General features: G+C 38.5%; 1 protein-coding gene across 8 annotated transcripts in view; it reads right to left on the bottom strand.

Annotated features, from left to right (window-relative positions):
* Positions 1 to 27,610, bottom strand: part of EPB41L5 (erythrocyte membrane protein band 4.1 like 5) — a 166,043-nt gene that overhangs the window by 13,995 nt on the left and 124,438 nt on the right. For all 8 annotated transcript variants that reach the window (XM_047445208.1, XM_047445210.1, XM_006712651.2 and 5 more), the window contains 4 exons: positions 21,994 to 22,122; positions 18,836 to 18,900; positions 4,151 to 4,244; positions 215 to 289 (listed from right to left, as the gene is read on the bottom strand). In XM_047445208.1, the coding sequence (XP_047301164.1) occupies positions 215 to 289; positions 4,151 to 4,244; positions 18,836 to 18,900; positions 21,994 to 22,122 (363 nt within the window). The remainder of the gene's footprint in view (positions 1 to 214; positions 290 to 4,150; positions 4,245 to 18,835; positions 18,901 to 21,993; positions 22,123 to 27,610) is intronic.

The raw sequence follows: 27,610 nt of genomic DNA, 5'->3' as shown, positions 1-27,610 counted from the left end.
CTTATAGAGACATGTGATTTGTAGACAGTGATACACAAATTCAAAGTGGTAAAATTTTAGGACAGAGAGGCAATGCTAAGTGGTTATTAAAACATAAACTCTTATCAAATGAAAAGTTTAACTGAATTATTAAAAAGGAAAAAACTGGAATCTAGCAGGAACATTTTTCAAAACAGAAATTTCTTTCCATCATACTATTTTAAAGCATATTTACCTGAGGTGCAACTGTGTGATCAATTAGATTCTCAGTTAGAGATGCAAGCAAGGCATCCAATTCATCTGTAGCTTCCTATGGAAGACAGGAATCTAGAATTGTTAAATGACCCCTTTATCATCAGATGTTAAGTTTTTTCCATATCCTCTCAATTTATAATTCTGACACAGGCCTGATTAGTGTTAATCCTTTAAATACACAGGGACACTCATAAATCATGGTTGTTAATGATTCCACTTCTGCATGGAGGGAAACCTATACTACAATCAGGATGTGAAAAAGCTGAAGTGCTATGTAAATTTTCAAATAGCTATTCTCCTTTGGTAAGACAAAACTTGGGTAGGGTTATGACTATTCTGGCTCTTAACTTTTTCTTTTTAATTACAAAAAAATTATTTTGGCTGGATGCAGTGGCTCACACCTGTAATCCTAGCGCTCTGAGAGGCCAAGGCGGGAGGATCCCTTGAGCCCAGGAGTTTGAGACCAGCCTGGGCAATATAGTGAGACCTCATCTTTACAAAAACTGAGCTAAGCTGGGCACAGTAGCACTCAGCTGTAGTCCCAGCTACTCAGGAGGCTGAGGTGGGAAGATCACTTGAGCCCAGGAGACAGAGGCTGCAGTGAGCCAAGATTACACCACCGTACTCCAGCCTGGATGACAGAGTGAGATTCTGCCTCAAAACAAATTTTAAAAAAGTAAATACAGCCGGGCACTCCTGGCTAACACGGTGAAACTCCGTCTCTACTAAAAATACACAAAATTAGCTGGGCGTGGTTGCGGGCACCTATAGTCCCAGCTACTCGAGAGGCTGAGGCAGGAGAATGGCATGAACCCGGGAGGTGGAGGTTGCAGTGAGCCGAGATCGCGCCACTGCACTCCAGCCTGGGCGACAGAGCAAGACTCCATCTCAAAAAAAAAAAAAAAAAAAAGTAAATACAAAAAAATAAAAAAAAGTTGTTTTGAGACAAGATCTTGCCCTGTCCAGGCTGAAGTGCACTGGCACAAGCATAACTCACCGCAGCCCCAAAATGCTGGGCCCAAGCAATCCTCCCACCTCAGCCTCCCAAGTAGCTGGGACTACAGGTGTGCACCACCATGCCCAGCCAATTTTTTTTTTATAGAGACAGGGTCTCACTTATGTTGCCCAGGCCGGTCTTGAACTCCTGGGTTCAAGTGATCCTCCTACCCTGGCCTCCCAAAGCACCGGGATTACAGGTGTGAGCCACTGTGCCCAGCCTTTTAACTTTTAGACTAGATGAGAATGGTACTACTCTGTATGGTAATATCATACTTTGAACTTAAAAAAAAAAAAAAAAAACCAGTAACAGGTTCAGCACAGGAGATACTGGATAAAGGAGGTGCCTAAATTCCAAATGCTCCTTTATCTAGACTTATGGGTGCTTCTGTTTGTAAAATAATACAATATGAACTCTCTCCCTATAAATGTTAATACTTTTTGTTTAACCAGTATTTGAAGTACCTTATAAAGGACACAATTCTCTACTGTGAGGGAGGGGGTCTGGGAGAATTTTAAAACAACAAAAGATAAAATGCCAATCTGGCAATAAACAATAGGAACCTAGGGCATAGCACACAACAAAAAAGAGCCCTTCATTCATACATTTCTTTCTTTTTTTGGGGGGGGGGGGGGCAGAGGGACACGGTCTTGCTCTGTCACCCAGGCTGGAGTGTAATGGTACAATCATAGCTCACTGCAGCCTGAATTTCCTGGGCTTACACTATCCTCCCACATCAGCTGCCCAAGAAGATAGGACTACAGGCATGCCAAACTATGCCTGGCTAATTTTTAAAAAATTTTTTGTAGAGACGGGGTCTCCCTATGTTGCCCAGTCTCATCTCAAACTCCTGGCCTCAAACCATCTTACCGCCTTGGCCCAAAGTGCTGGCTTATAGGCATGAGCCACCACACTTAGCCACCCATTTACACATTTCCATTTCTGCTTATATGCCTTCAGGTCTTGGAGAATCTCCTATTCATATTTCAACGTGCAACTTAATTTAAATCACAAAAACATGAAAAACTGTTCTCTCCTCTCGCATCTTCCCACCCTGCTGCCTGGACTAAGTGCACCATAACAGCTTGTGCAAGTCTACCACAATGTATTACGATTCTCTCTCCCACTAGACTATATGCAGTTAAGCTGAGACCATGTTTCATTCATTCATTTTTGAATCTTTAATGCTTAACAAGTTGTCTGGTACATACTATATATGCAATAAATCTTTGAACTAAATGTCCTTCTCTGCTTCAAAAACATCTCAGGTTCTGCTTAATGATTTCCAATGATTAGTCAATGTATCTTTTCAGATTTTCATCAGCAGAAAAGAAATGCCTGATTGAAGATATTTTAGGTTGGGTTTTTTCTTTAACCCTAAAAATCTGAAAGATACTTATATACCTAAATACCAACTATACACTTTCATTGAGTAGTGAGAATACAAGTGATCTTTAATTTTTCCTTTTTGTGAGGTATTTGGCAAATTACAACAGATGTACATTATGCAATAAAAAAGACAAATGGTAAGTGTTCATGCAAGGGCAATTTTTAATTTAACTTGCAAATTAAAACATTCATTGGCAATAAACTGGGTTTCTATGATTTCTGAATTGTTAAGGGTTTAGCGAGTGGATACAGAAAAGGCAGAAGTTGGGATGAGCTGGTTATGCTGCAGTGCAATTAGTGATAGTGATAGGTCCCTGTTATTTCAAAAAGTTTGTGTCAATCAACAAATATTTCATGCCTATTATGTACCAGGTACTATTGGAGACACTTAGGCTGCCTATAATCCCAGCACTTTGCGAGGCCAAGGTAGTAGAATTGCTTGAAGGCAGGAGTTTGAGACCAGCCTGAGGGATACAGCAATGAACAAAACAGGTGTCTCTCACACAGCTTACATTCCCTAGAGCAGCAGTCCCCAACCTTTTTGGCACCAAGGACCAGTTTTGTGGAAGACAATTTTTCCAAGGACCAGGTTTGGGGGTGGGGTATGGTTTTGAGATGAAACTGTTCCACCTCAAATCATCAGGCATTAGATCCTTATAAGGAGTGAGCAACCTAGATCCCTCGTGTGCACAGTTCACAGTAGGGTTTGCACTCCTATGAGAATCTAACACCACAGCTGATCTGAGAGGAGGTGGAACTCAGGCGACAATGGTTGTCTGCAGCTCACCTCCTGCTGTGTGGCCCAGTTCCTAACAGGCCATGGACCAGTACCGGTCCGAAGCACAGGAATTGGGGACCCATGCCCTAGAGTAAATGAAACTACTAATTCAAAAAGATCCCTTAATTCTTTCATCTAAGAAGCACTTAGTCCCTATTTGCATGCAACACTGTATCTTAAAAGGAAATGAGTGAAAGCATAGCCAACATTCAAAACCACCCCCAAAATATAAACAAAGTACATACAAACTGGAGAAGAAACCCTAAGATCCTCTTGTGAGTAGTGTGGCAACAGGATTCTCCCTAGAGAACTGTGGCTCAATGCTTTTATCACATTTTTTTTTTTTTTTTTGAGACAGTCTCACTGTATTACTCAGGCTGGAGTGCAGTAGTGTGATCTCAGTTCACTGCAATCTCCACCTCCCAGGCTCAAGCAATCCTTCTGTCTCAGCCTCCTGAGAAGCTGGGACCATAGGCACATGCCACCATGCCCAGCTTATTTTTTGTATTATTGGTAGAGACAGGTTTTGCCATGTTGCCCAGGCTGGTCTTGAACTCCTGAGCTCAAGTGGTCCACATGCCTCGGCCTCCCAAAGTGCTGGAATTATAGGTGTGAGCCCCTGTGCTCGGCTGCTCTTCTCACATCTTAAGTCCCAGTGTCACTCAGTAATCACTAGATGCCCTTGGTTATACTGCAAGATTCAATTCAAAACTGTCTTTGGCAAAAATTTTAAGAAGTAAAAGTATTCTTACCTTTAGAACAGAACCACTGTCGGCAGGTGTGATAAGCATCAGAGTCTCAAGAGACTCTTTGGGGAGGGGCACATTATTCTCATTTAACACAGCACTAGGAAGAAAAAGATAAATTCACATCATGTAGGACCTGTACAGGTACAGGCAGGATTTTCAAAGAAAGGGCTTAGGAAAGAAGTGCAACAAATTCATGTAGGGGAAGGTATATGAAAAAATGCTCAAAATCATCAGGGAAATGTAAATCCAAACTATGATGAGACATCATCTCGCTCCAGTTAAAATGGTTTTTTAATAAAAAAGATAGGCAATAACAGATGCTGGTGAGGACCCATAGAAAGGGTAACCCTCTTACGCTGCTGGTGGGAATGTAAATTAGTACAGCAACTTTAAAGAACAGTATGGAGGTTCCTCAAAAACTAAAAAGAGAATGACCATATGGTTCAGCAATTCCACTAATGGGTAAACATCCAAAAGAAAGAAAATCAATATATCAAAAAGACATCTGCCTCTCATTCTCATTGCAGCTCTACTCACTACAGTCAAAATATGGAACTGACCTAAGTGCCCAAGTGCTTAACGTATTGTCACATGTACCCTGAAACAAAGTACATCTATAGTGCATCAATATTTTAAAAAGTTAAAGGAAGCTGTGGACAAAGAAGTAAAGGAAACCAAGAAAACAATGTACCAACAAATATAGAATATTAAGAAAAATTATAAAAAGGAATTAACTTTGAAGCCGAAAAGTATAATTTTTTTTTAACTTCAGAGGTACATGTGCAGGTTTGTTATACAGGTAAACTTGTATCATTGGAATTTGTTGTACAGATTATTCTGTCAGCCAGGTATTAAGCCTAGTACCCATTAGTTATTTTTTGTGCTCCTCTCCCTCCTCCTGTGCTCTATTTTCTAACAGGCTCCACTGTCTGTTTTTCACCTCTATGTGTCCACGTGTTCTCATCATTTAGCTCCCACTTTACGCAGTATTTGGTTTTCTGTTCCTGTGTTAGTTTGCTAAGGATAATGGCCTCCAGCTCCACCCATATTTCTGCAAAGGACACAATTTCATTCTATTTCATTCTTTTTTATGGCTGCACAGTATTTCAAGGTGTGTACATACCACATTTTAAAAATCCAGTCTGCCAGCACCATTTATTGAATAGGGAAGCCTTTCTCCATTGCTTGTTTCTGTCAGCTTTGTCAAAGATCAGATAGTTGTAGGTGTGTGGCACTATTTCTGGGCTCTCTATTCTGTTCCATTGGTCTATGTGTCTGTTTTTATACCAGCAACATGCAGTTTTGGTTACTGTAGCCCTGGAGTACAGTTTGAAGTCAGATAGCATAATGCCTCCAGCTACTTCTTTTTCCTTAGGATTGCCTTGGCTATTTGGGCTTTTTTTTGGTTCCATATGAATTTTTAAATAGTTTCTTCTAGTTCGGTGAAGAATGTTATCAGTAGTTTAACAGAAATAGCATTGAATCTATAAATTGCTTTGGGCAATATGGCCATTTTAATGATATTGATTGTCACTTTTTTTTTTTTTTTTTTTTGAGATGGAGTCTCCCTAGGTTCACCCAGGCTGGGGTGCAGTGGCGCGATCTCGGCTTGCTGCAAGCTCCACCTCCCAGGTTCACTCCATTCTCCTGCCTCAGCCTCCCGAGTAGCTGGGATTACAGGCACCTGCCACCACACCCGGCTGTTTTTTTTTTTTTTAGTAGAGACGGGGTTTCACTGTGTTAGCCAGGATGATCTCGATCTCCTGACCTCGTGATCCACCCGCCTCGGCCTCCCAAAGTGCTGGGATTACAGGAGTGAGCCACTGCACCCAGCCAATATTGATTCTATCCATGGGCATGGAATGTTTTTCCATTAGTCTGTGTCATCTCTGATTTCTTTAAGCAGTGTTTTGTAGTTATCCTTGTAGAGATCCTTCACTTCCCTGGAAACCAAGAAAATCCTAGGTATTTTATTCTTTTTATGGCAATTGTGAATAGGACTGCGTTCCTGATTTGGCTCTCAGCTTGACTATTGTTGGTGTATAGGAATGCTAGTGATTTTTGTACACTGATTTTGTATCCTTAGACTTTGCTGAAGTTGTTTATCAGCTTAATGAGCTTTTAGGCTGAGACTATGGGGTTTTCTAGATATAGAATCATGTCGTCTGGAAACAGAGATAATTTGACTTCCTCTTTTCCTATTTGGATGCCCCTTATTTCTTTCTCCAGCCTGATTGCTCTGGCTAGGCCTTCCAATACTATGTTGAATAGGAGTGGTGAGAGAGGGCATCCTTGTCTTGTGCCAGTTCTCAAGGGGAATGCTTCCAGCTTTTGCCCATTCAGTATGATGTTGGCTGTGGGTTTGTCAGAGATGGCTTTTATTATTTTGAGGTATGTTCCTTGAATACTTCTTTTATTGAGAGTTTTTAACCCGAAGCAGTGTTGAATTTTGTCAAAAGCCTTTTCTGCATCTATTGAGATAATAATGTGGTTTTTGTCTTTATTTCTGTTTATGTGATGAATCACATTTATTGATTTTCATATGCTGAACCAACCTTGCATCCCAGGGGTATAGCTATTTGATTGTGGTGGACTGATGTGCTGCTGGATTCAGTTTGCCCGTATTTTGTTGAGGACTTTTGCATTGATGTTCATCAAGAATACTGGCCTGAAGTTTTCTTTCTTTGTTGTGTCATTGCCAGGTGTTCGTATCAGGATGATGCTGGCTTCACAGAATGAGTTATGGAGGAGTCCCTCCTCCTCAATTTTTTGAAATAGTTTCAGCAGTAATGGTACCAGCACTTCTTTGCACATTGGGTAGAATTCAACTGTGAATCCATCTAATCCTGGGCTTTTTTTGTTTGGTAGGCTGTTTACTACTGATTCAATTTTGGAGCTCATTATTGGTCTGTTCAGGTTTCAATTTCTTCCTGGCTGCCTTGGGAGAGTGTGTGTGTCCAGGAATTTATTAATTTCTTCTAGATTTTCTAGTTTATGTGCATAGAGGTGTTTGGTAATATTCTCTGATAGTTATGTGTATTTCTATGGGGTCAGTGGTAATATCCCCTTTGTTGTTTCTGATTGTGTTTATTTAGATCCTCTCTCTTTTCTTCATTAGTCTACCTAGCGGTCTATTATTTTTTCAAAAAAGCAACTCCTGGATTCATTGATCTTTTGTGGTTTTTTTGGATTTTTTTTTTTTTTTTTTTGAGACAGGGTCTCACTCCGTTTCCCAGGTTGGAGTGCAGTGCTGCAATCTCGGCTCACTGCAACCTCCGCCTCCCAGGTTCAATCTATTCTTGTGCCTCAGCGTCTGAAGTACCTGGGATAACAGGCATGCGCCACCCCGCCCAGCTAATTTTATATTTTTAGTAGAGATGGAGTTTTGCCATGTTGGTCAGGCTGGTCTTGAACACCTGGTCTCAAGTGATCCGTCTGCCTCCACCTTCCTAACTGCTGGGATTACAGCCATTGAGTCACTATGCCCAGCCTCATTTTTTGAGTGTTTTTTTGTGTCTTGATCTCCTTCAGTTCAGCTCTAATTTTTTTTTTTCTTATCTTCTGTTAGTTTTGGGGTTGGTTTTCTCTTGGTTCTCCAGTCCTTTTAGTTGTGATATTAGGTTGTTAAATTGAGATCTTTCTAACTTTTTGATGTGGGCATTTAGTGCTATAAATTTCCCTCTTAACACTGCCTTAGCTGTGTCCCAGGGATTCTGGTATGTCATATCTTTGTTCTCACTAGCTACAAGTAACTTCTTGACTTCTGCCTTATTTTTATTATATACCCAAAAGCCATTCAGGAGCAGGTTATTTAATTTCCATGTAACTGTATGGTTTTGAGAGAATTTCTTAGTTTTGATTTCTAATTTGATTGTGCTGTAGTCTGAGAGAGTGGCTGTTCTGATTTCAGTTCTTCTACATTTGCTGAGGAATACTCTATGTTCGATTATGTAATCAACTTTAGAGTATGTGCCATGCAGTGATGAGAGGAATGTATATTGTTATTTTGGGGTGGAGAGTTCTGTAGATGTCTATTAGGTCCATTTGACCCAGTGCTGAATTCAGGCCCTGAATATCTTTGTTGATTTTCTGCTTCGATGATGTGTCTAATACTATCAGTGGGCTGTTGACGTCTCCCACTATTACTGTGTGGGAGTATAAGTCTATTTGAAGGTCTCTAAGAACTTGCTTTCCGAGTCTGGGTGCTCCTGTATTGGGTGCATATATATTTAGGATAGTTAGTTCTTCTTGTTGAACTGAACCCTTTACTGTTATGTAATACAGGTCTGTGTGCTTTCTCTGTGCACTGCAGGCAGGGGTGGTTGCTCGTGATGGGGGAGAATCTGCTGTTCTCCATGCCTATTTTCACTCCTGCCACAGTGCTGGCTGGCCCTGTGCTTGCCAAGGTTGTGACTGCAGTGGCAGTTGATGGGACACGGGAGAGACATGCCCTCCTGCTGCAGCAGTGGCAGGGCAGGGTGCATGGACATAGGTGCACTGGTGGGGCAAGGAAACAAAGCCAGCCCATGCACACACATGCTAGCAAAGCGATGTGGGGCACTGCTGTAGCCCCAGGGGGAAGCTGAAGTGTGGGGAGGGAGTGGGCAGGCTGGTGCATGGCCGTGGGGACCGCCCTACAGGAACTCTCTGCAAGTCAGGCACAGTCTGCCAGTGCAAAAGCCAGGATGCTGGCTCCAAGGACGCCAGAGGCTTCCCGGCAAGCAGGTATGGCCAGGCTGGGGTCCTGGGGGACCATCAGACCAAGGGGTGCTCAGTTCAGAGCAGCCCTACCTGATGGACAAGATCGCCCTGCAGAGTTCAGGTCTGATAGTTCTCCTCGGGCTAAAGTTTCCTATGGGAGCAAGTTGACCCTAGGGGGATGGCTGTCCTTGGCCATGCTCCACAATAGATGCTCCTGCACCAAACCCTCTGGGCTCCACATCAGCTGGCTTGCTGCCCCACCACTTCTCTAAGCAGCTTTCCCTGCAACTCGAGTGTCCGTGGTGGTCGTGGGGCCTCTTCCTGCCAGGATTCCAGAGGCCCAGGGTGACAGCAGATTGCTCCTTGCCAGTTAAATTCACTCATCCCCTTGGAGTCGCTGGGGGCCGGAAGCAAGCCCCAGTGTGTGGAAGCCCCATGGAGGCTGCCCAGCTTCTGTGTCTCCATTTTTTTTTTTTAATAAAAAAATCACTAGAGGATTTCAATAGCAGATTCAAGCAGGCAGAATAGTCAGTGAACTTAAAGACAGGTTAACTGAGATTATTCAGTATCAGGAGGTGAAAGAAAAAATAATGAAAAAAATGAGCAGAGCTTGAGAAACTTGTGGGACATAATCAAGCATATTAATATACGTATTACAGGAGTTCTATAAGGAGAAGAGAAAGGGATAGAAAGATTATTTGAATAAATAATACTTGAAAATTCAATAGGTTTGATAAAAGACATGAATCTACACATCTAAGAAGCTCAATGAACTCCACAGGATAAACTCAAGAGATCCCCAACAGACATATTAATTAAACTGTCAAAAGACAAAAACAAAGAGAGATTCTCGAAAGTTGCAAGACAGAAACGACTCATCATGTACAAGGATCCTCATAAGAGTAAAAGCCAACTTCTCATTAGAAACCATGCAGACCAGAAGGCAATGGGATGACATATTTAAAAGCACTGAAAGAAAGTACCCTGTCAACTAAGAATTCTATATTCAACAAAACTAACCTTCAAGAATGAAGGCGAAATTAAGACATTCTCAGATAAACAAAAGCCAAGAAAGTTTCTTACAGGTAGATATTCCTTACATAAAATGCTAAAGGGAATCTTCAAGCTGAAAGAAAAGAATACTACCCAGTAACTCGAAACCATATAAAGAAAAATAGAGAAAATTACTGGTAAAGGTAATTAAACAGGTAAGCATAAAAGTAAGTATTTTACAATTTGGGTATAACTTCTCTTTTATTCCACTATTATTTAAACGATAAATACATAAAACAATTACAAATTAACTTTAATAGGCCCACAATGTGTACATATGCAATTTTTTTTTTGTTTTGATATGGAGTCTTGCTCTGTCGCCCAGGCTGGACTGCAGTGGCACGATCTCGGCTCACTGCAAGCTCCGCCTCCCAGGTTCACGCCATTCTCCTGCCTCAGCCTCCCGAGTAGCTGGGACTATAGGCACCCGCCACCACGCCCGGCTAATATTTTGTATTTTTAGCAGAGACGGGGTTTCACCATGTTAGCCAGGATGGTTTTGATCTCCTGACCTCGTGATCTGCCCACCTCAGCCTCCCAAAGTGCTGGGATTACAGGCGTGAGCCACCACGCCTGGCCCATAAACATGTAATTTGTGACAATAACAAAATAAAGGGGCAGAAACACACACATACAGGAGAACAAAGGTTTTGCAGAGTATTGAAGCTATATATAGTATTAATTCAAACTAGGCTGTATAAGATGCTAATTTGATTCCAAAATAACCACTAAGGGATAAATTTTTAAATATAGGGAAGGGGCCGGGTGCAGTGGCTCATGCCTGTAATCCCAGCACTTTGGGAGGCTGAGGCGGGCAGATTACCTGAGGTCGGGAGTTCGAGACCAGCCTGACCAACATGGAGAAACCCTGTCTCTACTAAAAATACAAAAAAAAAAATTAGCCGGGCATGGTGGTGCATGCCTGTGATCTCAACTACTCGGGAGGCTGAGGCAGGAGAATCGCTTGAACCCGGGAAGCAGAGGTTGCGGTGAGCCAAGATTGTGCCACTGCCCTCCAGCCTGGGCAACAAGAGTGAAACTTGGTCTCAAAAAATAAATAAATAAATAAATACATATAGGGAAGGAAATGCAAAGGAAATCAAGGGGTATGCTCATGAAAAAAAAAAACGTTAAACAAAGAAGACAGTAATGGAGAAACTGAGGAACAAAATTGACAAAAGACATACAGAAAACAAATACTACAATGGAAGAAGTCCTTTATCAGTAATCACTTTAGATGTAAGTGGATTAAAGTAAAATTACGATGGTAGAGAGTGGCAGAAAGAATTTTTTAAAATGATCCATCTGTATGTTATCTACAAGCCTCACTATGATCCAAAGATGTGAATAGATTGAAACTGAAAAGACAGAAAAAGATATTCAATGCAAATAGTAACCAAAAGACAGCTGTGGTTGCTATACTAATATCAGACAAATAGACTTCAAATCAAAAGATAAAGGACAAAAGACAAAGAGACACATTATACATTGATAAAAGATTCAATCCATCAAGAAGATATAACAATTACAAACATATACAGAACTATCAACAGAGACCCAAATATATGAAGCAAAATATGTAAAGAACTGAGGGGGGAAAATAGACAATTCTATAATAGTAACTTGATATTTAAATATTTCACTTCCATTCATCATTATGGGTAGAACAACCAGAGAAAAGATCAATAAGGAAATAGAATTAAACAATAATATAAACCAATGAGCCCTAATGAACATATATAGAACACTCCACCTAATAACTGCAGAATGTACATGTACCTTCTTCTCAAGAACATACAAAACATTCTCTACTAGACTGCATGTGTTAGGCCACAAAACAAATCTCAATACATTTAAAGAGACTAAAGTCATACCACATATCTTCTCTTACCATAATGAATGAAATTATAAATAACTTAATTGGAAAACTGGAAAATTCATAAATACAGAAATTAAATAAAACATTCTCAAAAAACAATAAAGGAAGAAATCACAAGGGAAATTAGAAAATAATTTGAGATGAATGAAAAAAATACCAAAATATTTGAAATGCAGCAAAAGCAACGCTCAGAATAAAATTTATAGCTGTAAATCCCTACATTTAAAAATAAGATCTTAAAATCAATAACCTAACTTTACACCTTAAGGAACTAGAAAAACAAAGAACTTAAGAAAAACTTAAATCCAAAAGTTAGTCCACTGAAAGATCAACAAGATTGACAAATATTTAGCTAGACTTATGAGGAAGAAAAGATTCAACTAATATCAGAAATTAAAAAGGGTGAAACCTCTCAGTAAAAAACAAATAAAAAGGATTTGAAGAAAATACTATGAGCAATTTACTCCAGTAAATTAAATCACCTAGGTGAAATGCAAACATTCCTGAAAACAAATTACCAAAACTGACTTAAGACGAAATGGAAAATCTGAATAGACTTACAACAAGTAAAGAGATTGAATCAGTAATCAAAAACTTTCCAACAAAGAAAAGCCCAGGACCATAGCTTCACTGGTGAATTCTACCAAATATTTAAAGAATTAACAATAATCCTTCTCAATCTCTTCCAAAACACAGCAGAAGAAGGAACACTTCCTAAATCATGCTATGAGGCCAACACTATTGCCCTGTCACCAAAGTCAAATAAAGACATTGTAAGAAAATTACAAACCAGCCAGGCATGGTGGCTCACAGCTATAATCCCCAGCAATTTGGGAGGCTGAGGTAGAAGTACTGCTTAAGGCCAGGAGTTGGAGAAACCTACAGACCAATATCCCTGATGAATATATATACAAAAGTCCTAAAAAAAATGTTATCAAACTGCATCGAGAAGAATATTAAAAAGCTTATATAACATGACCAAGTAGGATTTGTTCTAGAAGTTCACAAGAGTGGTTCAACATCAGAAAACCACACCATATTAACAGAAAGAAGGAAAAAATCTCAATTGATGAGCATCTCAACTGATGCAGAAAAAGCATATAACAAAAATGCAACACTTTTTCATGATAAAAACAAACAGAATAGAATGGAATTTCCACAGTATGGTAAAGGGCATATATGAAAAACATACACACAACACTCAATGGTGAAAGACTGAAAGCTTTCCCTTTATCCCTTTCAGGAATAAAATAAGAATGTCAGTTTTTGTCTCTTCTGTTCAACACTGTACTGGAAGTTCTAGCCAAAGCAATCAGGTAAGAAAAAGAAATAAAAACTTCCCAACTGGAAATAAGGAAGTAAAACTATCGCTATTCACAGATGCCATAATCATGTATATAGAAAATCTTATAGAATGCAGAAAAAACCAGCTGGGTGTGGTGGCTCACACTTGTCATCTCAGCACTTTGGGAGGCCGAGGCGGGCCGATTACCTGAGATCAGGAGTTCAAGATTAGCCTGGCCAACATGGTAAAACCCCATCTCTACTAAAAATACAAAAATTAGCTGGGCATGGTGGCAGGTGCCTGTAATCCCAGCTACTCAGGAGGGTGAGGCAGGAGAATCGCTTGAACCCAGGAGGCAGAGGCTGCAGTGAACCAAAATCGCGCCATTGCATTCCAGCCTGGGTGACAAGAGCAAGACTCCGTCTTTAAAAAAAAAAAAAAAAAAAAAAGGGCCAGACGCAGTGGCTCCTGCCTGTAATCCCAGCACTTTGGGAGGCCGAGGTGGGTGGATCATGAGGTCAGTGGTGTTTTGTAGTTTTCAGTGTACAAGTCTTTTGCCTCCTTGGTTAAATTGTTTCCTAGGTTTTTAAATCTTTTATGCTGTTGTAACATAGTTGTTAATTTTGTTTTCAAACTGTTCACTGCTAGTGTATAGAAATACAACTGATTTTTGTGTATTTATCTTGTATTCTGCAACTGTGCTGAGTTTATTAGATCTAATAGGTTTTTTTCTGCATTATTATTATTATTATTATTTTTTGAGATGGAGTCTCGCTCCGTCGCCCAGGCTGGAGTGCAGTGGCGTGATCTCGGCTCACTGCAAGCTCCGCCTCCCAGGTTCACGCCATTCTCCTGCCTTAGCCTCCCGAGTAGCTGGGACTACAGGCACCCGGCTAATTTTTTGTATTTTGAGTAGAGACAGGGTTTCACTGTGTTAGCCAGGGTGGTCTCGAACTCCTGGGCTCAAGCAATACTCCCACATCAGCCTGGATTACAGGCATAAGCCACCATGCCCAGCTGAAAAAATTAACTGAAAATAGACAGAAGATCTAAATATGTTTCCTATACTGGAAGTTCTAGCCAAAGCTATGCAACTGTTAATCATTATGATCTTGAATTTCACAATGGTTTCTTATATAAAACACTAAAAGCACAGACAACCTAAGAAAAGTAGATAAATTAGACTTCGTCAAAACAAAGAATTTTTATGCATCAAAAGGCTGATCACTAAGAAAGTGAAAAGACAATCCACAGAATGGGAAAAAATATTTTCAAATCATGTATTCGGTAAGAGTCTAGTATTAAGAATTGATATTCAATCAAGGACTCCTACAATTCAACAATAAAGTAAACCCAATTTAAAAATGGGTAATCTGTCATGGGATTAGAAAAAAAAAAGAAATAAAAATAAATGGGGTGGGCAGGCACAGTAGGTCACACCTGTAATCCCAACACTTTTTAGGGCCAAGGTAAGAGGATTGCCTGAGGCTAGGAGCTTGAGACCAGTCTGAGCAACTTAGTGAGACCCCATCTCTAAAAAAATAAAATAAAATAAACTTTTTTTTTTTAAATTAGCTGGGCAGGGTGGTGTGTGCCTGTAATCCTAGCTACTCAGAGGGCTGAGGCAGGAGGATCACTTAAGCCCAGGAGTTCAAGGTTACAGTGAGCTATGATTGTGCCACTGCATTCCAGCCTGGGTGATTGAGCAATAATGTCTCTAAAAAATAAGAAAATAAAATAAAAAATGAGCAAAGGACTTGAATAGACATTTATCCAAAGAAGTTACACGAATGGCCAACAAACACATGAAAAAATCCCCAACATTCTTAATCATTAGAGAAATGCAAATCAAAAGTACACTGAGGCTGGGTGTGGTGGCTCCCACCTGTAATTTCAGCACTTTGGAAGGCTGGGATGGGAGGCTCGCTTGAGCTCAGGAGTTCGAAGACCAGCCTGGGCAACACAGTGACACCTTGTCTCTCCCAGAAATGAAAAAAAACTTAGCCGAGCATGGTGGCATGTGCCTGTAGTCCCTGCTACTAAGGAAGCTCAGGTGGGAGGATCGTTTGAGCCTAAGTTTGAGGCTGCAATGAGTTGTGCTTGTGCCACTGCACTCCAACCTGGGTGACAGAGCAAGACCCTGTCTCAAAAAAAAAAAAAAAAAAAAGTACAGTGAAATACCATGAGAGTGTAAAGAAATAAAAACCCTCACTCATTACTGGGAGAAATAGAAAATGGTGCAGTGGTTGTAGAAAACAGTTTGGCAGTTCCTTAAAAGGTTAAAAGCAGAATTACCGTATGACTCCGGAATTCTACTCTAGATGTGTAACTGAAAAACAGGTGTTCAAACACAAAATTGTACATGACTATTCATAGCTGCAATATTCCTAACAGTCAAAAGGTGGAAACAATCTAAATGTCTATCAACAGATGAATAAACAAACTGTGGTATATCCATACAATGAAATATTATACAGCCATAAAAGGAAATAAAGTCCTGATACATAATAGTACAGTATGGATGACCCTGGAAACATTATGCTAAGTGAAAGAAGCCAGACACAAAAGACCTCATATTACAGAGTATCATTTATATGAAATGTCCAGATAGGTAAATCTATAGAGACAGAAAGTAGAAAAGTACTTCCTCAGGGTTAGGGGAAAGGCAGTGCAGGGTAGATGGGGTTACAGTTAAAGAGCAGGGGATTTCTTTTTGAGGTGACGAAAATATTCTGAAATTTGTTACTGATGGTGGTTGTATGTACTAAATACAGAATGTACTAAATGTACAAAAATGTACCAAAAACTATTGAATTGCACACTTTAAATGGATGAATTGTGTGGTATTTGAATCAAATTTATCAATGAAGCTGTTACTACAAAAATAAATGATCTGAATAGACATTTCTCCAAATAGACATACACGAAAGGATGTTCAACATCATTAGTCCTTAGGTAAATGCAAATCAAACCACAATGAGATGAGACACACTTTATACTCACTAGGATGAGTATAATAAACAAGGAGAATAATAAGCACTGTCAATGACACGGAGAAATTGGAATCCTCATACATTGCTGGTAAGAATGAAAAATGTTACGGCCATTTTGGAAGACATTTGGCAGTTCTTAAGAAAGTTAAATATAGAGTTACCATATGACTGAGGAGAAATGGTGTTACTCCTAGGTATATACTAAGGAGAACTGAAAGTATATTTACAAAAAAAAATTTGTATGCAAATATTCACGTCTAGCTTTGTTCACAATAGCTAAAGAGTGGAAACAATTCAAATGTCCATCAACTGATATATGGATAAATAAATGTTGTATATCTATATAATGAAATATTATTTAGCCATAAGGAGGGACAAAGTACCAACATATGCTACAATATGGACAAATCTGGAAAATATTACGTTGAATGTAAGAAGCCAGACACAAAAGGACACGTATAATTCCATTGACATAAACTGTCCAGAGTAGGTAAATCCACAGAGACAAAGTAGATTAGTGGTTGCCAGGTGCTGGGCAAGAAGCAGAATATGGAGTGACTGCTAATGGGTAAAGTGTTTGCAGACTTTAGGTAAGGTAGAAACCTTCATACTCACTATAATACTCATCCTAGTGAGTATGAAGACCTTAGGTAAGGTAGAATGAGGATGAGTATATATGAGAACTAGGATGAGTATTATAGTGAGTATGAAGGTTTCTACCTTACCTAAGGTCTGGAAAGGGTAAGGAGTGAGGGTAAGGAGTTTCTAGACCTATGGTGTTTCTAGAACATTCTCAAACAATGTTCTAGAATTTATTATAGTGGTAATGGTTGCACAATTTTGTAAAATTACTGAATTGTGTATTTTTAAAGAGTGAATTTTGTGGTATGTGAATTATGTCAGTAAAAAAAAGAAAGAAAAATGATCTAAATCTATTATGGTAAAATGTTAAGATGTGACAAAGCTTGATATTTGGTATACAGGTATACTATATACAGTATATTATATACTTCTCCATAGTGTCTCTGTGCCTAAAATACTGCATTTTCAAAAAGGAGGTACAGTAAAACAGAACAGTGTTGTATAGCATGGGGAAAATAGATTAAAAGAGAAGGAAAAGATCTAGAAATACACCCATGTTTATATAAGAACCTAGTATATTTCAAAGGATGCATTTGAAATCCTAGGGGAAAAATAGATTCTTCAAAATATGAACAGGCATTTAGAAAAATAAATCTGCATGTATGCTCTAGGCTCTTTCCAGCTTCAAGAGTTCAATGAAACTTCTGATGAACATTGGGCAGTCCTGTTCCCATTACCCTTCTCCTGGCAAACAAAAAATTTTATTCTGAAAGACTTCAATAATAACAATAGTACTAAAAATGTTATTACTAACAGTGGTTATCAGAATTTTCTTTCCTTTTTTTTTTTTTTTTTTTTTTGAGACAGAGTTTCGCTCTGTTGCCCACGCTGGAGTGCAGTGGCACGATCACGGCTCACTGCAACCTCTGCCTCCTGGGTTCAAGCAATTCTCCTGTCTTGGCCTCCCCAGTAGCTGGGATTACAGGCGTGCGCCACCATGCCCAGCTAATTTTCGTATTTTTAGTAGAGACGGGTTTCACCATGTTGGCTAGGCTGGTCTTGAATTCATGACCTCAGGCGATCCAAAGTGCTGGGACTACAGGCGTGAGCCACCACGGCCTGGCCCCTTAGAAAAAAAACCAGGGTCTCACTCTGTCACTCAGAATGAAGCGCAGTGGTGCGATCATAGCTCACTGCAGCCTCAAACTCCTGGGCTCACGAGATTGTCCCTCTTCAGTCTTTTGAGGAGCTAGGCCTACAGCGTGGATCACCATGCTCGGCTAATTTTTTATTTTTAATTGTAGAGACAGGATCTCACTATCTTGCCCAGGCTAGTCTCAAACTGCTGGCCTCAAGTGATCCTCCTGCCTTGACCTCTGAAAGTGCTGGGATTACAGGTCTGAGACACCGTGCCTGGCAATTAGCATTAGTTACAAGGTCAAGTTGTAATTCTAGCTTTACCCTGATCACCAATTAGTACTTTTGCTGAGTACTAACTATTATAATATAAAGTGCTATACACTATGCATACTATGTGTGGTGCCATGTTGACTGCGGTATCTGGAACTGAATATGATTAATCACAATCATATTCCTTGACTGAATCAGTTTTGAACAGTAAAAAAAGAAACAGCATTTATTTGCTCAACATTTTTTAACACTAAGCACAGAACATTAGATTCACAGTGGTGAAGAAAGTCAATGGCCATAAAGCATGGAATAAAAGCCTAACTAACAAGACAAATAAATGCCAAAATACTCATTAAAGGGAGCAAGGGCAGAAGAGACTTGGAGGGAGCAGCAAAGAAAGTTAACTACATTACTGTGAGAACCCATGGCAAGTAAGTTGATAAGAACAAGGCCATTGTGATAACAGGATGACATGAAAGTTTACTGTAAGAGAATAATACACACTCCTTACCAGGTGACTGAAAAGATCACACATATCTTTAAGACGGTTTCTGCTCTGTTGGTTCGAATCAGTTGAAGATAAATGGGAATGTTGGGAGACTAATTAGGAACATCTTCAAATAATATAAAACTAGGTACTAAGTGGTCTGTAATGGATACAATAGAGTGAATTCAAGCTATCTTTCAGACAGACATCCTGAAACCATGTGGTGACAGACTGAGAAGAAAAAAAAGACAAAGATAGATAAGAACATCAATTTAATTCAGTCTACCCAGAACTGTACCTGTTTGTGGCAGCATCCTGAACATTGGCATTTTTATGACTTAATAAGCTATCTTCTTTTGTAACCTAAGAAAATGAAATATTAAAAAAAGTAAATCTTTATTGAGGATACTAAAGTAACAAGAAATTTACATTTCTTTCTGGTAACAACAGAAATATCAGTTTGCTTTAATTAAAATAAGAGGTAATCATACCTTATCTATGGAAATACCAGCAGTGTACCTAGTACAATCTTACCCCATACCTAAATTAATAATCAAAGATTCCTTTTTTTATTTGGTATACAAATTCACACAATCTTACTAGATGGTTCTCAATAATGCACCCATTTTTTATTTTTTTTTTGAGATTGAGTCTCACTCTGTCCCCCAGGCTGGAGTGCAGTGGTACAATCTCAGCTCACTGCAACCTCTGCCTCCCAGGTTCAAGTGATTCTCCTGCCTCAGCCTCCCGAGTAGCTGGGATTACAGGTATGTGCCACCACACCTGGCTAATTTTTGTATTTTTAGTAGAGACATGGTTTCACCATGTAGGTCAGTCAATCTTGAACTCTCCTGATGTCAAGTAATCCACCTGCCTGGGCCTCCCAAGGTGGTGGGATTACAGGCATGAGGCACCGCACCTGGCATCAATAATGCACCAATTTTTTTTAAAGTACAGTTTAATAAATTTTTTTAAAGGCATACAAGTGTTTAGCCAACATCATGTAACATTTCTACTATCTCCCCCACTCCCCGCCTCAATATTCCCTTGAGGCTTCCCACATAATCCCATGAAAAAACCCTTATTTGAGGTAAATGATGATCTATACTTTACACAGTTTCATATAATTGGAATCACAGTACCTATCCTTTCCATCTGCTTCTTTAGAGCAGCATGGAGATGTCTTTGAGATTCACTCATGTTGTTGTACAAATCACTAATTTATTCCTTTTTATTCAGACATTTCATTGTATAGATACATCACAATCATCTGTTTTTAGCTATTTCATATAAAGCTGCTAGGAACATTCATGTACTAACATCTGTGTTAACCTGAGTTTTGATTTCTCTTGGGCAAATATCTAAGAATGTAATTGCGGGTTAGATGATATGTGTATGTCTGATGCATTGCCAAACTCTTTTAAAGTGTTTATACAATTTTATGTTCTTACCAGCAATGTATGTGCACCACAGGAGCTCTATCATCACCAGCACAGGGATGGTCAGTGTTTAATTTTAGCTATTTCAGTGGATGTGGCTTTCATCATTAATTATGATGTTGTAGATTTTGTTCATAAATGCTCTTTATCAAAGTGAAGGAGTTTCATTCTTTTGCTAGTTTGCTGAGAGTTTTTATCATGAACAGGTGTTGAATTTTGTGAAATGCTTTTCTACATGAATTGAGACAATTTTATGTATTTTTTAATATGGTGAACTATCTTGGGTTTTGAATGATAAACCAACATTTTCCCCAAGATAAACCCTACTTGGTCATGATGTATGATCCTACTTATAAAGTTTTGAATATATTTTGTTAAGAACTTTTAAGTTAATGTTCAAGAGGAGTAGTGGTCTGTAGTTTCTTGTATTTTTTTTCTGGTTTTGGTACTGGGGTGACACTAGTCTCATAAGATGAATTGGGAAGTGTTCCTTCCTCTTCTATCTTTTTGAAAAACTTTGTAGAACTGCTAATATTTCTTCCATAAATGTTTAGTAGATTTCACAATGAAGGTATTTGATCCTGGATTTCTCTTCATGAGAAGGTCTTTTCACTATAAAATCAAATCCCTTTACTTTAGGGTTACTCATGTTACTTCTCTATTCCTCAAGTCAAGAAAGATCCAAAATGATAACTGAAATGTAAGGTAATGATTTCTTAGTCCATTCAGGCTGTTCTAACAAAACAACATAATCTGAGTGGCCTATAAATAACAAATATTTATTCCTCACAGTTCTGGGGGCTGAGAAACAGAAGATTATGGCACTGGCAGAATTAGTGCTTGGTGAGGGCCCATTCCTCATAGATGGCGCCTTCTCACTGCATCCTCACATGGTTGAAGGGTTAAATAAGTTCCCTCCAGGCTCTTTTATAAGAGCACTAATCCTACTCTTGGGGGCTCTACCAAAGGCCCCATCTGTTAATACCATGGCTTTGGGGATTAGGTTTCAACATAAAAATTTTGCGGGGGTATGCAACCATTCAGACCATAGCAAATAATAACTATTACTACTACTGCTACTATAACTATTGAGGGTCAACACTTTCTAAATGCTCATTATGTGCCAGGCACTATTCCATGTCCTTTAATTATCTTATTTCACCTTTACAACCCAGCTTAAGGTAGGTACTACCATTATCCTATTTTATACATAATTAAACTGTGGCTCAGAGAAATCAACTAACTTGCCCAAGTCACAAAGCTAGTAGGTGGTAGAACAGAAATGAGATTCTAGAGTCAATACTATCATATTTTATATTTATTTTATATGTAAATATGTTGTAAAACATGTTTATATTCTGGGGAGAAAATGGAAAAAGAACATGAACAATATTCCTAAAGTCCAATCAGGTCTCTTCAAGGCTTGTACCTGAGGACAGGATGGGTAAACTGCATCTTCTCCATAACAGGTGAATTTGAAATCCTAGTTGACAACTGACTTAGTGAGGCAGGCTTCTGTCCTGGTTTTAGGACAGAATGTAAGTTTGAAAGTCACGGAGAGCCAAGGAAAAGCTGATTTTGAGAACAAGGCTGCCGCATCTCTCATGGAAGCTAGTCCCTACCCCCTCCATCCTTCACCATGGCACAGCCAACTCTTCACCTTGTACCTCACTCTTTTTGCTAATTACATAAACATATCGCCAAATTGAGGGTAGATGGGTTGTGGGGAATAGTGGATGGATAAAGACAGACCTAGAATCATAGATTTAATACTGAAATAAGGCTTTAAAAATCACAAGGCTTTCTGGCTATCAAAGTGGCAAACATTGAAGGCTCACTTCTATACAAATTTGGCTTTTTTAGCCTTCGTATCCCCCTGAGCATCTTTACTCTTATTTTTTAACTCCCTGACTGCACCATTAATCTAGCTTGATTAGAATTTAGAGTTGGGGAAGGCAACTCTCTACATCCCATGCTCATTTCACTTCACCAGGGCTATCTATCAAAGGCAGCTTACCTTATGCACTGCTTCTACTTGAGCCTTCAAAATGTTACTCTTGAAGTCAGGAGGAACTCTCATGACATTCAATCCTGGGCTCTCAATGACATTATTAAGGCATTTCTCAGTCAACTTCACCACTTCCTCCTAGATATTTTAAAAATATACTATAATCAACTCTGATGCACTATAGTTATATGGAAATAGGAAATAGACTGATGAAAGTTCATCTGCAGACAATCAGGAAATCATGTGTCTTAAGCAGCCATATCTTATTTCAGGCATAAGCAATTCTTAAAGTCATCTATCTGTGAAGAGCTCTGGATTTAAAAGGAACAGCCTCTGTAGGGCCTAACCTAAAATTGTAGCAAACTATAACCCAAAGGGCAAATCTGGCCAACCACCTGTTGTATAAACACAGTTTGCTGGAATTCAGCCATATTCATTCCTCTGTGCCGCTTTCATGCTACAACTGGCAGAGCTAAGTAGCTGTGAAAGAGACTACGAGGTTCTGCAAGACTAAAATATTTACTATCTGGTCCTTTACTATTTACTAATATTTACTAAAATAATCTGCCAACCTCTGGTCAAGAGAATAGACTTCATGCCCTACTTTTCATCTTTTAGCCCAAAAATACTAGTTGCTAAAGCTCACACATGCCTTAATTGCACCCACTGTCCTCGCTGAATGCAGTTGAGATTCTGTTCCTTTATGCTTTTAAAACAAAGTACTGCTCATCAAAGAACAAGAAAAACTGATTCCTGAAATAAAATTTGAAGATAAAGAACATTCTGGATTGCCTTAGGAAATTAAGGGGAAGGAAGTAATTCAAAAATCTATAGATCTTGATAGGTCATAAATCCTAAAGGATTTCAGACATAGGTCAAGAGAAAACCGAAGTCTGGAAGGGGATAATGAAGGAGACAAATAAATAATATAAATGTATTTATTACCACTGAACGATACACTTAAAAATGGTCAAGATGGTAAATTATATATGTATATTTTACCTTGTTTTTTTTTTTTTTTTTTTTTAAAAAAGAAAGCACAGAGACTAAGTTGCAGAGAGGAGGGATGAAGAAAGAGAAGAATCTTGACAACTCCTAGAATCACGGCATCTCAAAGTTGGAAGTTACAAGAGTCCATCCAACCACCAAAATACTTCAAGAGGTGGGTAATTTTTAGTCTTAGCCTGAGAAACATCACACACTGGAAAACTTGCTACTTCCTTGGTCAGATGACTGTTAGGAAACACTTTCCTGTGTTAAGGTCAAATCTGCATACCTCTAACATATTCATTGACCTTAACTCTTCCCTGAGGCCATTAAAAAGCAAGTCACATTAATTCCTCTTTCACATAATAGCTCTTCATATATCTAAAGATGGTTAACATGCTCTCTCCTGAGATTTCTACGTGGCAATCATCTAGCTAATAATCCCAAATTGTAACTTAGTTTCAAGACCCTTCACCATACAGATCCTTCTCTTCTCAAACTGCCACTTTTCTATATCATTTTTAGAGTGCTATCCAGAAATGAAAAAAATAGTTGAACCTCCCCTTTTGAACCCTTTGAATTAAGACAACATAACTCTTTGGCAGCTGATTCATACTTCATTTACATATTCTTACTTTTTAAATACATGCTGCTGTGATATTCTAGTCCCCTACCCTAGCCCTGTACTTATGATTTGTCAAAGTCTATGTTCTTAAACCCAGTCTGTCATTCCAATCTATCCAAGCCTTCATGGATCCTGATTTTGTCTTTCAAAAACTGTACTTCCCAGCTGTTATCATCTGAAAATTCAATTAGCATAATAGACCTGGGAAAGAAAGTGGTCACTGGAGATGGCCATTTGCAATATTAACTTCTGTGGGATTTAGACAGGGCTAAAGTTTCCTGAGGGTCAAGAACTTGTCATTCCACTCGTCTGCGAATTCCACACAGTATTTATTTTATCTTACAAAAAGTAGGCAATAAACACATTTTTAGAACTGAACCAACAGTACATAAGGCATGTCAGGTGACTGTATAAATCCTGCATAATGCAGGCCGGATGTGATCTCTCTACAATGGGCTCTTACAACACTGTCAACTCTGCTGTCAGTAGTGCTAGTCTGAGCCTTAAGATTAGGTTGCTGGCTAAGACATTCTCAGTTCTTAGGGCAAGTCATCCAACAAATCATGCTTTACTTTAGAATGACGTATTTTATTTTCAGTAGGTTTTCTTCCTAAAATTACTTTAGTCAGGCCAACATTAAGATTAATTTGCATTCCTTAAGCAAACAACAACTGTTGATAGCAGAGGTAGAGAAATCAGCCTTTATTAAAAATGCATCACATTAATAAAACATGAATCAACTTTTTCACAATACAGGTTGTGCATCCCTTTTCCAAAGTGCTTGGGACTAAAAGTATTTCAGATTTTGTATTTTTTCAGATTTTGGGATATATGCATTATACACTGGTTGAGCATTCCAAATACGAAAATCCAAAATAAAAAATGCTCCAATGAGCATGTCCTTTGTGCATCACATCAGTGCTCAAAAAGTATTAGATTCTGGATCATTTTGAATTTTAAATTTTCAGATCGGGGGGCTCAACTTCTACTCAAGTTGACTAGAGTTAAGGCAAGGTAGTCACATGTCCTTTATTAGTAGTACAATACTGAATTCTTCCTTCTTTTCTTAAAAAATCTTTTCTATTTTTATGGGTACATAGTACTTGTATACATTTATGGGGTACACGAGATATGTAGATACAGGCATACAATGTGTAATCATCACATCAGGGTAAATGGAGTATCCATCACCTCAAACATTTATCATTTCTTGTGTACAAACATTCCAATTATACCGTTATTTTTAAATGTACAGTAAGTTATTGACTGTAGTCACCCTGTTATGCTATCAAATGCTATCTCTTACCCATTCTATCACTCTAACTATACTTTTGTAGCCATTAACCATACCCACTTTTCCCCACACCCTCCATACTACCCTTCCCATCTGGTAACCATCTATCTCCGCAAGTTTAATTCTTCGTTTTTTGGCTCCCATAAATGAGAACATACCAAGTTTGTCTTTCTGTGCCTGGCTTCTCTTAATATAGTGTCCTCCAGTTCCATCCATGTTGTTGCAAATGATAGTATCTCATTCTTTTTATGGCCGAATAGTACTTCATTGTGTATATGTACCAGATTTTCTTTATCTATTCATCTGTTGATAGATATTTAGGTTGATTCCAAATCTTGGCTACTGTGAACAGTGCCACAATAAACATGGGAGTGCAGATATCTCTTCGATATACTGATTTCCTTTCTTTTGGGCATATTATCTAGCAGTAGGATTGCTGGATCATATGATCGTTCCATTTTTGGGTTTTTGAGGCACTCTGTACTTCTGTACTAATTTACATTCCCACCAACAGTGTACAAGGGTTCCTTTCTCTCCACATCCTCGTCAGCATTCATTATTGCCTGTCTTTTGGATAAAAGCCATTATAACTGGGGTGAGATGATATCTCACTGGAGTTTTGATTGGCATTTCTCTGATGATCAGTGATGTTGAGCACCTTTTCATAAACTTGTTTGCCATTTGTATGTCTTCTTTTGGGAAATGTCTATTCAGATTTTTTGCCCATTTTAAAATCAGATTATCAGATTTTTTTCCTATTGAGTTGTCTGAGCTCTTTATATATTCTGGTTATTAGTCCATTGTCAGATGGGTAATTTGCAGATATTTTCTACCATTCTGTGGGTCATCTCTTCACTTTGTTGATTGTTTCCTTTGCTGTGCAGGAACTTTTTAACTTGATGTGATCTCATTTGTCTATTTTTGCTTTGGTTGCCTATGCTTTTGGGATATTATTCAAGAAATCTTTGCATAGACTGATGTTTTAGAGAGTTGCTCCAATATTTTCTTTTAGTGGTTTCATAGTTTGAGACCTTAGATTTAAGTCTTTAATCCATTTTCATTTGATTTTTGTATATGGCAGAGATAGAAGTTTCATTCTTCTGCATATGGAAATCCAGTTTTCCTAGCACCATTTATTGAAGAGACTGTCCTTTCCCCAGTGTATGTTCTTGGCACCTTTGTCAAAAGTAAGCTCACTGCAGATGTATGGATTTATTTCTGGCTTCTCTATTCTGTTACATTGGTCTATGTGTCTGTTTTTATGCTAATACCATGAGTTTTGGTTACTATAGCTCTGTAGTATAATTTGAAGTCAGGTACTATGAGTTCTAAAGTTTCGTTTTTTCTTCTCAGGACGGCTTTGGCTATTCTGAGTCTTTTGTGGTTCCATATAAATTTTAGATTATTTTTTTCTATTTCTTTGAAGAATATCATTGGTATTTTGATAGGGATTAAATTGAATTGGCAAACTGCTTTGGGAAGTATGGACATTGAATCAATACTGAGTCTTCTAATCCATGAACATGGAATATCTTTCAAATTTTGTGTCCTCTTCGATATCTCATACCATTATTTTGTAGTTTTCATTGCAGAAATCTTTCACTTCTTTGATTATTTTTATTCTTAGGTATTTCATTTTATTTGTGGCTATTGTAAATGGGATTACTTTCCTGATTTTTTCTTCAGTTTGTTTGCTGTTGGCATGTAGAAATGCTACTGATTTTTGTATGTTGATCTGTATCCTGCCACTTTACTGAATTTATTAGTTCTAATTGTTTTTCTTTTTCTTTAGTTTTTTCCAAATATAAAATAGTATCATCTGATGATAATTTGAATTCTTCCTTTCCAATTTAGATGCCCTTTATTTCATTCTCTTGTCTGATTGCTCTAGCTAGGTCTTCCAGTACTACACTGAATAACAGCAGTGAAAGTGGGCATCCTTGCCTTTTTCCAGATCTTAAAGGAGGCTTTCAGGCATGATACTAGCTGTGGGTCTGTCATAACATGGCTTTTAGTGTGCTGAGGTATGTTCCATCTATACCCAGTTTTTTTAGTTTTTTTTTCTTAATCACAAAGGGATATTGAACTTTATCAAATGTTTTTTCAGCATCAATTGAAATGATCATATGGTTTTTGTCCTTCATTCTGCTGATATAATGTATCACCCTTGATTGATTTACATGTGCTAACCCATCCTTATTACATCCTGGGATAAATCCCACTTGGACGTGATGACTTATCTTTTTAATATGTTGTTGAATTCAGTTTGCTAGTATTTTATTGAAGATTTTTGCATCAGTATTCATCAGAGATACTGGTCTACAGTTTTCCTTTTTTGAGGTATCTTTGTCTGGTTTTGTTATCAGGGTAATACTGATCTCATAAAATGAATTTGGAAATATTCTTTCCTCCTCTATTTTTTGGAATAGTTTGAGTAGGATAGGTATTAGTTCTTCTTTAAATATTTGGTAAAATTCAGCAGTGAAGCCATCAGGTCCTGGGCTTTTCTTTGCTGGGAGACTTTTTATTACAGCTTCGATCTTGTTACTTGTTATTGGTCTATTCAGGTTTTGGATTCCTTCTTGGTTCAGTCCTGGTAGGCTGCATGTGTCTAGGAATTCATCCATTTCTTCAATGTTTTCCAATTTATTGGCATATAGTTGCTCATACTAATCCTTAATGATCCTTTGATTTTTGCAGTATCAGTTATAAGTCTCCTT

Source organism: Homo sapiens, chromosome 2, assembly GCF_000001405.40.
Source record: "Homo sapiens chromosome 2, GRCh38.p14 Primary Assembly".
Taxonomy (NCBI): Eukaryota; Metazoa; Chordata; class Mammalia; order Primates; family Hominidae; genus Homo; species Homo sapiens.
This window is presented reverse-complemented; position numbering and strand designations above follow the sequence as displayed.